Source organism: Homo sapiens, chromosome 7 (assembly GCF_000001405.40).
Source record: "Homo sapiens chromosome 7, GRCh38.p14 Primary Assembly".
NCBI classification, from domain to species: Eukaryota; Metazoa; Chordata; class Mammalia; order Primates; family Hominidae; genus Homo; species Homo sapiens.
Window position 1 is genome coordinate 134,164,257 of NC_000007.14, and position 13,364 is coordinate 134,177,620.

General features: G+C 39.5%; 1 protein-coding gene across 12 annotated transcripts in view; it reads left to right on the forward strand.

Annotated features, from left to right (window-relative positions):
- Positions 1 to 13,364, forward strand: part of LRGUK (leucine rich repeats and guanylate kinase domain containing) — a 149,346-nt gene that overhangs the window by 36,917 nt on the left and 99,065 nt on the right. For all 12 annotated transcript variants that reach the window (XR_002956408.2, NR_174939.1, XM_024446659.2 and 9 more), the window contains 2 exons: positions 10,300 to 10,380; positions 12,721 to 12,807. Coding sequence is in view for 10 of the 12 variants with exons in the window: in XM_024446659.2 (XP_024302427.1) it covers positions 10,300 to 10,380; positions 12,721 to 12,807 (168 nt within the window). In the remaining 2 variants the exon portion in view is untranslated. The remainder of the gene's footprint in view (positions 1 to 10,299; positions 10,381 to 12,720; positions 12,808 to 13,364) is intronic.

Below are 13,364 nucleotides of genomic sequence, written 5' to 3' on the forward strand. Positions count from 1 at the left end.
AAAAAGTTTTAAAAATGCAAATACCCTAGGAAAGGCTTAAACCCTCAAAAATAAAATAAAGAGAAGAGGCACAGGAAGGGAGTTCTTATATACCAATCTGCATGGTGGCTTGGGGACTGGGTTTACTCAAATTTTCAGGTCTGGCTTAATAACGCACACTTTACTTCAAAAACCACAGAAACTGGCTTTCACTCTTAATTACATTTTATTTTTAATAAAGCATTTGTGTTCCTAATCATGGCATATTAAGTTGGTAACTTTAGCAAACTTCTTATGCTGTAAGGTCTACAACGTTATTTTATTTATATCGAATACTTTATCACATTTTTGGGAGAATGCTTTCATAAGGAAGTTCAATGTTTATTTCTTCTTGAAAATGAAAAATTGGGCTGAGCCTGAAAGGGACAGTTGGTGCCAGCTCAAGTGAGCTGGGGTGTTGTGGGGATCTTGCTGTGTTCTGCTGTGGTGGTGCTTGTCGGTTTTGTGTGATGAGCCTTTTTTCCAACAGACTTCCCTCATCTGTTAGGTTGCTAAGAATCAAGAAAAGTCAGTTATTAGTCCTGGGAACAGAGGAGTTTTCAATCACAGACAAAGCTGTTCATCTTCATTCTCCTTGACTTGTATATTAAGTTGTTTTGGCAACTTCTCCAGTTAATTCTGGTGGACAACCTTTGTTCACTGTACCACGTGTCTTAGGAAGTCCACACAATCTCCATCTCATGTGGTTTTAGTGTCCTGTTCATGCATTTGCCATTGAAGACTGATTTTCAGAAAATTTCTTACTTAAAATGATTCTCACATATATACAGAGGCTGGTGAAAGGGTGGAAAGCTCTCATTAAATCTCAACTCAATGCATCTCAGGATTTAGGAAAAGGAGTAACAATAATGATAATAATAACAATTCAGGTCATAAAATAATCTAGAGATATTTGTTGAGTACTTATGTACCAGGCACTTTCCTAAGTACTTTATCTCATGTAATCCTTATTATAACCCTATTATTATTGTCATTTTACAGATGAAGAAACAGGGGCAGAAAGAGGTTAAGTAACTTGCCCAAAGTCATATATCCAGCAAATAGCAGAGCCAGCCTGCACATAGAGAATGGTTTGCCTCCGGTTTCAATGTTCTTAACCTCTGCAGGGTGATATAGTGCATAAAATGCTAATGGGCCTCCCTTCTGAAAGGGCCTGTTGTAATGCCCCAATACAGTGCTTTCTCAGCGAAACATCACGTGAGCCACAGATGTCATGTAAAATTCTCCAGTAGCCACAGTAAAAAGATGCAAAGAAACAGGTGACATTAATTTTAATAATGCATTTTACTTAACCCAGTAGATCCAAAATGTTGTCATTTCAACATGTAATCTACATACAAACTTATTGATGAGATATTTAACCTTCTGTTGTTTCATACTAAGTTTCTGACATCCAGTGTGTATTTTACACTTAAAGTATGTCTCAATTCATCCTGGCCATATTTTAAGGTCTGGGCAGCTGCATGTGGCTAGTAATTACCATATGGGACAGCACAGATCTAGAAATACCTCATAAATAGTATGTTGTTCTCTTCCATTTCAAGAGGCTTTTCAAATTGTATTTGACAAACTTTAAAGAAAAAAGAGGAGTATCATCACGTGAAGAAAGGAGTTTATAATTTTCAAATGTTAAAGAGGCTCCATGAAAAAAAAGTGGCCACGTGTCCCAAAGGGGGATCCTTTGGCACCCATGAGCTCTGTAACAATCACCTAATTCCCCGACTCCCCCTGGGCAGGTTGAGGAGCAACCCGCAGGCTCCCCAAATATTCTTTGAGCCTTCAGGAAAGTTCCTCAGAGAACTCTACAGGACTACCGAGAATACTGTGTATCTCGGTGGAAAATTTATCATTTAGCAGAAACATAACCTAGCTTCTGCTTCTCATATGATTAATCTGATGTTAAGAATATTGTTTTATTGGTAGCACTTCATCAGTATTATGTACTTGGTTTTAGCAATTGAAACATTGTAGCACCCACATGTGATCATTTGAACATCTTCTTAAGGCCACTTGAGAATGTTTACCATCAGCTGGGAATTTGGGGACCTTAGTTACCCTCTACTCTGTAGTCTTGTTAGATTTTATATCATTTCCAGCATTTAAAACATATCCCAAGCTGTTAGCTCTATTATAACCTCAGTCCTTTCTTCTAGAAGCAAGATATCAGTCTGGGAGTGACTTCGAAAAACGCTGTCTTACTTCTCTAAGTCTCAGTGTCGTTATGTCACACTGTTGGTTCCCAATTACTTTTCTGAATTTTTGTGAGGATTCACAAGGTAATACTCATAAAGCAATGGCAGCATGGAGAGAACTTGAATCCTGAGTAATAACAGTGCTCCTCCCAGAGCTCCCCATCTCTCCATTCTTTGCAGTGCTCTGGCTTTCCTTCTAAATCATTCTCTTGAATGCTGACGGAGACAATGGCAGCTGAAGACCATTATTCCACTCAATTTTTGTGCTGCTTTGTATAGAAGGAACATTCTTTGCCGAAGACTCCTTGCTTCTTGTTGTTCAAAGACAGATGCCATTTAATGTCCCCGGCAAGCAATGTGCATTACCCCCCTCTTCACTGAACCCTGGCTCACACTTCTCTTCACATACGTGAGCAAAAGGAACTTTGGGGGCATTAAACCCAATCAGGCTTCTAAGTGAATTTAATTTCTCTCTGGATTTAAGTTTGTTAGATTAGGCCTGTAATGAGAAGGGTTGGACTGGGTGAGTCCTTGGGGCCTCCAGGGGCTGACAACATTGATGCAGAGGCATGCCATTGATGCTCGCGTGATCAGATCTCCTGCTAAAGTCAATCTCCATTCCACCTGGCCAACATACTCCTGCCCTGGGATGCAAACAGGAGGGAGGACCCCTTGGAGGTCTTTGGCCTCCTTACACCCAAAGGTGATGCCCAAGGCAGGATACCCTGATCTGCTCAGCAACTGCTCTCTGGATAGTCTTGGCTCTCTGCAGAGAGTGCTGATGGGTGCACACTTTAAGTCCAGGTTTTGATGCTGCTTCATCACTTTTACAAACAATTTTTGAACTCTCAGACCAAGGTGAATGTGACTTTCCCCTTTGCCCCTGACCCCTTTCTTAATGCCTGTATCACAGTGATGGACTTGGCCTGCTTCCTGGTGCCCTGGCTCCATGGTGATGGGGTCAGCAGGGATAGTTACCCTTTGCCTGCTTTAGCACTGGCTCACTGAGTAGAGTGCCGGCCGTTGAACAGGAGACCGCAGGTTCCACACCGTCTGACTTGGTTAGGCCAGCTACGCAGGACTGGCTGTCAGTGGCCAGTTTATGTGACTGAGGATAGAGACCAGCACTCTTAGGGGCAGCTGGTGGGGTGCAGTGCTCCCTTGCAGAAGGGGCGGGAATGTGAAGTCAGCCATTTTCTTCTGATCCTCATGCAGATCCAGCGTATTTCCACCTCTGGAGCTTCATGACAGCTGGTGTCTCTGCTGGAAGCTTTTCCCCACATCTTCAAATAAATTCACTTCATTTCATTTAAGCCTCTGGCAAACTCTCATGAAAAAAGGCCTCTGACCCCGTCTGGCCTCTCCAGCACCCCCTCCCTGTTTTCTTTATCCCTTTACACTGTTTAATTTATCATTAGTACTTACTGTTACCTGGGGTTATGTCATATTGCATATTCTAGTTTCACATCTGTTACAGTTCACTGGCTTTCCAACTAGAATGTTAACTTCATGAGCTCTGGGACTTTATCTTGTTCACTTTTGAGCAATGCCTGGCTCAGAGGTGTCATTGAAGAATATTTGTTTTCTTGGCCAGGCATGGTGACTCACATCTGTAATCCTGGAGCTTTGGGAGGCCAAGGTAGGCTGATCACTTGAGGCCAGGAGTTTGAGACCAGCCTGGGCAACATAGCAAGACTCCCATCTCTTCCAAAAATAATAATAATAAAAAAAACTGGGCATGGTGACGTGTGCCTGTAGTCCCAGCTACTTGGGAGGTTGAGGCAGGAGGATGGCCTGAGTCTAGGAGTTTGAGGCTGCAGTAAGCTATTATCACACCACTGCACTATAGCCTGGGCAACATCACGACACCCCCATCTCTTATAAAAAAACAAAGAATATTTGTTGACTGAATGCAGGACCCTCAGGAGCTCTCAGGAATACCCAGATTTGCCTCCCTTCTATCAAATGCTTGGTTGATGTTTGAGCTGCATGGGATGAGATTCTGGAATGACTGTGTATAAGAAGTGAGGCTTGAGTGTCTTCCTACAGGGCAGAGAAGGGAGATGGTGAATGGAGATCACAGGAATGGCTTGAGCTGAGAGGACAAGGGCCTTCAATCAGGTAGCAGTAGTAAGGAAGGGAAGGAAGGCTGGGGTCTAGAGTTATTTCTGAGGAAGAATTACTAGGGCAGATTGGAGGTGGTGGATGAGGAAGAAGATGTGGCTGAGGATGACTCCCGGGTTTGCAGCTCAGGTGACTCAGGTAACTGGGTGACAGTGCTGCCATCCAGCCTCCTTACTGTCATCGAGAACCCCTGGTTCATGGTTCTTTATCTTGTCCTAAACCTTAGAGGCAGAGTGTCCCATTCCAACAGCAGGGTGGGGACATGCTGTGCCAGCTCTCTGTGACAGAAGGCAAGCCCTGGCCATGGAGCCACTTCTCTTGGAAGCTAATCCTTACTAAGTATAGTGGGTGGAATTGTGTGCCCCTCCCCTCCAAAAAGCCTACCCTCAGGAAACTGAATGTCCCCTCATGTGGAAAGGGGTGTTTGCAGATGTAATCAAGTTCAGGATCTAAAGAGAAGAACATCTTGGATGTAAGGTGGCCCTAAACCCAATGTCCTGATAAGAGGCTGAAGGGAAGAAGACACACACACACACACACACACACACACACACACACACACACACACACACACACACACACACTGAAGGCCATGAGAAGACCCAGGTGAAGATGGGGCAGAGATTAGAGTTATGTTGCTGCAAGCCAAGCAAGGTCTGGAGTTACTGGAAGCTGGAGAAGGTAGGGAAGGGTTCTCCTCCAGAACCTTCTGAGAGAGCACAGGACTGCTGACACCTTGATTTCAGACTGCTGGTCTCCAGAACTGTGGAAGGAAGAAATTTCTGTTGTTTTAGACCTCCAGGTTTGTGGTAGTTTGTTATGGAAACCCTAGAAAACTTATATATCAAGTGAAACTGTATGTCTGGGGAATAGAGGATGAGGTCTGAAAGTTATTCTTCACTATGATCTTTTGTAATTTCTGCTTTTTATGTTTTATTGAAGAAATTTCTCTATACCCTAAGGTTTTAAATATTCTTATATATTTTCTTATAATTTCAAGTTTTGTTTTTCCATATTTAGTCTTTAATCCAATTGGGATTTACTTTTGTGGGTACTGTGAAGTGGGCATCTAGTTCCCAGGTAGGAAACAAATTGTCCCAACATTTCAGAATTCTGATTAATACTTGTAAAATATTCTATTGAATGGATAAGTCAGGATTTATTGAGACATTTACTTATTGAAATTTATGTTTAAAATTTGTTGTAGTATATATTCTTATTTATAAATCTTTAAGTGTATTTTAAATTATTTACTTAGGATAGATTCTTGGAAATACCATTACTGGATATAGGCATTTTTAAGACTCTTACTATATTTCATAAAGATTCATACTAATTAGTGTCCTACCAGCAGTATATGAAGTTAGAATACTATATTATAAGCACATCTTACTACACCTTTGTGAGCAAATATCTTTTAAAAATTATGTCACTCTGGTAGAGAAAAACAGTATTTTGCATTATTTTATATAAAAATTTTTGATTACCCATGAGGTTAAACATTTTTTTGACCTGTTTGTTAGACACTTAGTTTTCTTTTTAGAAATTGTCTATTCATGCCCTTAACTATCATTTATTTTATTATCGTTCTTCTGCTTTTCGTTGTACTCATTGTACTTTTGAAACACATTTGAAAGTAATTTATGAAGTCTATCAATATTTTTCTTTGTGTCTCCCTTTATTATTTTTAAAATTTTTATGAAGTCTTTCTCTGTTCTGAAATCTGTTAGGTGTTCACCTAAACTTTTTTCCCCTGGTTTCTTTCATTACCTTTCAACTCTTAATCCATAATTTATTTTATGGTACAATTGAAACAAAAATTTTAATTTATAGAAGGAATAAGATCTAGTGTTCAATAGCACAATGAGGTGACTATAGTTAATAATATTTTACTGTATATTTCAGAATAACTAAAAGAGTAGAATTGTCACATTTCTAACACAAAGAAATAATAAATGCTTGAGGTGATGGATACCCCAGTTACCCTGATTTGATCATTACACATTGTATGCTTGTATCAAAATATCACATTTACCCCATAAATATGTACAACTCTTCTGTATCCACAATAACTAAAAATGTAAAAACTTAATTTACTTTTTCCAATATCTAATAGTAATATAATGATAACAGCTATCATTTATTGAGAACTCATTATATCCTCAGCCTTGTGCTAACCAATTCCCATTCATTAACTCATTTAAAAAATAGTTTCATTGAATAATACTAATTTTCTCACTGATACAGAAATACTTTCTGAAGTATGCATTCGGTTCCATTGATCTGTCTGTTGATTCTTATTCCAGTAATGCACTCACCATCATCATCAACTAGTTGATAGATCCTCACAGTTTGAAAAATATTTGTGGTTCATCTTTTAAGTATACACCATTCTTATTTCTCTTAAGATTCTACTAAGATACAGAAAACGTAAATAAAACTATTTGTCTTTAGTTTAGTGGAGAATTCAGGCCTGCGGCAACCCAAGTTCTAACCCTGGCCAAATATAGGAAGTCAAGCAATCTTTTTTTTTTTTTCTTTTTCCCCCTTCTTAAAATTGTAAAACAAAACCAATACTGAGAAGATCTGTTTCTGAAGTATTTATTCTGTTCCATTGATCTGTCTGTTGATTCTTATTCCAGTATACACTTACCATCATCATCAACTAGTTGATGGGTTCCCCGCAGTTTGAAAAATATTTTTCTGCACAGATTTATGTTTAAATGTGGCAGCGAAAAAAATTTTAATGGTTGTACCCAATTGTTTTCTAAGACGACAAATATATATATGTGTGTATATATAACATATATTTATATGTACTTATATATTTTTATATATTCACATATAGAAATGTATATTCACATATATAAGTTTTTTTTTAAAGAAAAGACTTTAGTAGTTCCCTTTAGATCTGGATGGTGATGCTTAGAGACTATGGCCTTGAGGGAAATGGTAAAAGAAGAAAAGAAGAGGAAGTCAACGTGCTTTGGGGATGGGGGTGTGGACTATCGTCAATAGGGGCAAAGGAGGTGAGAGAATGCGCTGGACTGGAGTCTGGGGATCAACTGTGCTGAGATGACATTCTTGGCAGCAGATGGCTGAACTTCCCATAGGAATATAACCTTTCTGGTGGTATTTCACTGCAAGCTATTTGGGGTGCTGTTGTCTCTACTCCTGCTGTAAAAGTCTGTTATGCACACAGCCCTGGGTTTGTGGCCTTTGCAGAGAAAAGATGTGAGGGTGGAGTCCTCGGGGTAGGTTGTGCAGGAGAGGGAGGGCGCATGCAGGGCAAGCAGTATCTGTGGCACTTTGCTAATTCAGTAGATGTGGGGAGGTGAAGCCAGGCCACCCCATACCTTCTCCCATCTTACCTCATCCTACCCATGGAAGGCCAGGAAGGGAAGATGGGTCCCTTTCATTTAATTCTCAAAAAACCAACTGATCCCAGCTGACATCTTGTGGTAATATAATTTTGTATGTTCCATGATCACTCAGTTCATGGTGTTTGTAACATATTAAGGAAATCTTTCCATGTCAATCATTGTAAATATCACTATCTTCTAAAATGAGCATGTAGTGTTCCTACTATAGGACTGTACTGTTACCCATTTAATTACAGGATCATGGTGTTCTTAGGAATTCATACTTGTTTTACTTTTACTGATAATGTTAGACTGAATATTCTTGTATCTAATTTTTTTACAAAAAATTAGAATATAGAATATTTCACATATAGAAATTACATATTCTATATAAATTTTTTTAAAGAAAAGACTTTAGTAGTTCCCTTTAGATCCAGATGGTGATGCTTAGAGACTATGGCCTTGAGGGAAATCTAATTCTTTACAAAAAAATTAGATACAAGACGATCTCTTTAGTATAAACCCCTTGAAGTGGGAGAACTGGTTCACAGCTTATGAAACAAGTGAAATACATCAGATTGCCCTATAGAAAGAATGCACCAGTTTCCACTCTGACCAGCAATGTGTGCAAGTGCACATGGCCACAACTTGTTGGTGAGACGTGATAAATGAAGGAACACATCTCCTCTTAACATTAGTGTTAGGTCCAAAAAACAAGAGCAGGCCAGTGTGGTGGCTCACGGCTGTAATCCTAGCACTTGGGAATGGGAAGTCGAGGTGGGTGGATTGCTTGAGCCCAGGAGTTCAAGAACAGCCTGAGCAACATGGCAAAACCCTGTCTCCAAAAAAATACAAAAATTAGCTAGGCTTGGCAGTGCACACTTGTAGTCCCAGCTACTCGGGGGTCGGGGGCTGAGGTAGGAAGGTTCCTTGAGCTAGGGAGGTTGAGGCTGCAGTGAGCCATGATCATACTACTGCACCCCAGCATGGGTGACAGAGCAAGAACCCATCTCAAAAATAAATAAATAAATAAATAAAAAAGAATAAGAGCAGATGGAATGCTAGAAGGAAATTAATCCGTTGTTCACAAGTTTACTTTTCCACTTTCCTGAATAATACAATAGAAAACAATTGATCCCTTTTAAAAAAAGATAATCCAAATGGCAGACTGATGGACAGTTTAGTCATCTTACGGAAAAAGATGTGTATAATAGTATAACGTTGCTCTAACAAGATTAATGTGTTCAGGTTGTAGATTGCAACTCTGGTGTTCACCTTTCATATTGTATCTTTGAAAATGGCATCCTTTGAACATGGTGCATATGTTTGTCCTCTGACTTGGCTTTGGGTCTAGTTTGCATTTTAGCTGTGTATTGTGGTTGGATAACTCAGGAGTTTTTGGTGACCCTTCTGTAGGAGTGCTTTCCAATGCATGCAGAAATGATTGGAGAAAAATAGAAATGAAAAAGTGATGATTAACTTTTTGCAAAAGTGTAATATCTACACTTGAGATAAAATTGTAATTATGCTAATTACAGAATATTTAAGTAAACCTATTTGCCTTTAATTTAGTAGAGAATTCAGGCCTGCCGCAATCCAAGTTCTATTTCTGGTCAAATTAAGGAACTGTCAAGCAATCTTTTTTTTTTCTTTCTGTTCTCCTACTTTTTAAAATGGTGAAACACAACCTATACAGAAAAGTATATAAAACATAAGTGTACAAGTTAGCTAAAGAGTTCAAGGTGAACAGTACACACCCATCAAGAAATATGTCATACAATTTTTAGTTTTTTACCTTGAAATAATTCTCTGTTGGAAAAAGTGATAAAGCCATATATGTACATGCAGTAAGAAGGCTTTGGCCGGGTGGCTCATGCCTGTAATCCCAGAACTTTGGGAGGCTGTGGCAGGCGGATCACAAGGTCAGGAGATCAAGACCATCCTGGCCAGCATGGTGAAACCCCGTTTCTACTAAAAATGCAAAAATTATTTAGGCATGGTGGTGTGTGCCTGTAATCTCAGCTACTCAGGAGGCTGAGGCAGGAGAATCACTTGAACCAGGGAGTCGGAGGTTGCAGTGAGCCGAGATCACAGCACTGCACTCCAGCCTGGTGACAGAGCGAGACTCCATCGCAAAAAAAAAAAAAAAGGCTTTAACCAGTCATAAATGACCAGGGTAACAGAAGCAGGATTGGGGAAGGAAGTTGGGGGGCTGGAAGGCTAGGAATGGCGGTGGGGTGGGTAACCAGGTCATCCTTGGGTGCATTTTTGTACTGTTTTTCTGACTTTGAATGCTATTTTATTTCTGCCTTAAAGTGAACATGGATAAGAGGAGGAAACTTACTGTTCCCTAGCTAGAGAAGAAGAAAGAAAACGTGGTTGTGTGCATGCACAGTTATAGAAGGGGTATGCAATAATTCCCTTGTTCTGTGAAGTTCTGTGGAATTCTCATTAAAAAGCTAGACAGAGCAATTTTTAAAATAAGTTGAATTTAAAGGACCCAAACTGGCTTCTATTGTATTATGTTTTCTATTGTCTTTGTGCATTTAGTCTGTTGATAATTTTTTTCTTTGATTGAACAGATTGCTGAGCTGAGAGAAATAGAATACATTAAAAATTTACCCATCCTTCGAGTTCTCAATCTTCTAGAAAATCCAATTCAGGTGAGACATTATTTATATCAGGGAGGGAGACAGAGAAGAAAGTGGGATGGTGGAGGGAAACTATCTAGGAATTCTTCAAGAAGTACTTTTGATAAAAGAATATCAGGAATGTGAATAGAGTTTGTCTATCTTCCTTCTTTCTAAGGAAGGGTTTAGTAGTACCTAAAGTGACAATTTTTTTTTTAAGACATAAGATCTTCTCTCATGACTAACAAGCTGTCACATGACTGTCAGCGAAGGAAAGCCTGAAACTGAATATCATTTAGTTGCTCTGCTGGTCATTTGTGACTCATCCCCTGTGGTAAAGGTTACAGGAAGGAGGTAATAAGATTGCAGAACAATGTTCTCTGACATTAGACAATGCAAGACACCAGAGGTGGAGACAGAATGTGGTTCCTATTCTATAACAGGGGAAAGAAAATCTAAGATTAGCTACCTAATTTACCTGGATATAGCCATGAAATTGATGTATATGTGAAATAATTATAGAACAGAATAATACATTTCCCAGGAGTTCTTCACACCTCTGGGACTGAAGGATCAGGGAGTGTTTCAAGTCCTTCTCTTTCTCTCCATTGACAGATGCTTTCTCCCGGTCTCCTCCCCTCTCTCCTTGTCTGTTTGTCCTTCATTCCATTCTTCTACCTGTATCCTTCACTTAGTTTCCACAGGCTCTTGACTTTGCATGTAGCTCTTAGTAACTTTCTTTTTGTTTGTATCTTGATGAACATGTCTAGATAGGTGAAAAACAGAAAATACAAGAAAGATTTATAAATTAAAAGCTGCCCTTGGGACAGGAACAGTGGGAGGCAATTTAAAAGCATTTCTGGAAAAGTAAGAGGCAGGGCTTAAAGTGGCCAGCACACCTCAGTTTCAAATCCCTGAAGGGTGTTTGTGCATATGCATGAATAAGCATCACAAGCCGTTTGACACATTAACTGATTTATATACAAAACCTCTCCCCAACATTTACACCTAAGCTTTGTACATTCACCTCATATACGGTCTCATCTATTGGACTGGCGCAAAAGTAATTGTGGTTTTTTTCATTCTTTTAATGACAAAGACCACAATTACTTTTGCACCAACCTAATATATAACAGATCATCCGCTAATATCTAATGTCTTTCCCCTCAAAGAGGCATGGCTTCTTACTACAAAAACTCTAATTATAATTTCCAAAAGGCAGATAATCCTGATGGTAGGGAGTAATAAGGAGTTTGTTTTATAAATGAATATCATTTTATTATTACAAACAAATTCATAATAATACAAATTAATACGAAATATTGCATATAAATAATAACAAAATAATATAAAATATTAAAGTTTCATTATTTGCAGAATTGAGACTTGTTGGAGTTACAAGACAGGGTTTGAGTCACTGGCCACGGGATCTTAGATGAGACGCTTCACTTTTCTGAGGCTTGGTAGCCTTTAGAAATGAGGATAATCTGGAAGCCATTATCCTCAGCAACCTACCACAGGAACAGGAAACCAAACACCACATGTCCTCACTTAAAACTGGGAGCTGAACAATGAGAACACATGGACACAGGGAGGAGAACAACATACCCTGGGGCCTGTCAGGGGCGGGAGGAGGGAGAGTATCAGGATAAATAGCTAATGCATGCGGGGCTTAATACCTAGGTGATGGGTTGATGGGTGCAGCAAACCATCGTGGCACACCCTTACCTATGTAAGAAACCTGCACGTCCTGCACATGTATCCCAGAACTTAAAATTAAATTAAATTTTTTTTTCGACAGAGTCTCCCTCTGTCAACCAGGCTGGAGTGCAGTGGCGCGATCTCGGCTCACTGCAAGCTCCGCCTCCTGGGTTCATGCCATTCTGCTGCCTCAGCCTCCTGAGTAGCTGGGACTACGGGCACCTGCCACCATGCCTGGCTAATTTTTTTGTATTTTTAGTAGAGACAAGGTTTCACCATGTTAGCCAGGATGTTCTCGATCTCCTGATCTCGTGATCTGCCTGCCTTGGCCTCGCAAAGTGCTGGGATTACAGGTGTGAGCCACTTTGCCCGGCCAATTAAATTAAATTTTAAAAAAAGAAATGAAGATAATCCACCTGTCCTGTTAATCTCAAATCTCACAGGGAGATTAACAAGAGTGTACACTTGAAGACCTTTATAAGTTACAAGGCACAGTCTGCATTGAGTTAATGTAAGGGGACTGGGAAGCGTGAAATGCATAGTCCTGTGAGGGTGTGTGTGGGAATGATGAGGTAGTAGGTGAAAGGCCCAAGCTCATGAAAACCCAATGCTGGTGCTTGTTGATTTGGGAAAAGGAAGGCAACTGAACAGTCCTCTTGATATTTTAAATAGGAAAAGTCTGAATATTGGTTCTTCGTAATTTTTATGCTTCTGCGATTAACAGAATTAGATCAGAAGAAGATTAAAGTGGAAGAAAAGGTATGTAATCATGTCATAACATTACCATTGTGTTATTGGGTTAATATGCTCAAAAGCTCGTGTTGCCTGCTGTGGAAGCAATATAATCAATAAATAAGACACATAACAATATGTACATTAATTCATTTAGGGAATGTTTCCTTGCCTTAGGATCTGTTCATTTAACCCTCTGCAAAGGTGAGTATCAACACAAATGCAGTGAAAGGCCTGATGTCTTGCTGTTAGTACAGTGAAGAGGTTGGCTGTGGGGAACAGAAGCAGCACTCCACTTATATAGGTCGCAGCTTTATGGCAGACTATCAGTTTGAAAAACTTTCCTGTTTGGAAGGTGTATGATTCTATCTGTGTTACCTGAAAAATTCATTTAACAATAAAATGCATTATAATGTCACTCTACCATATAATCAAAAGGTACTCAAATAAATCACTACTCTGATATTTTAAATCCTTAATTCTGCTCTTTAAAAAAATGATTCATCTAGTCACAAAATTCCAGAATAACCAGAACTTGAATGCTAGCACCTGCCTCCCTGCTTTTCATACTCATGGTCACTGCT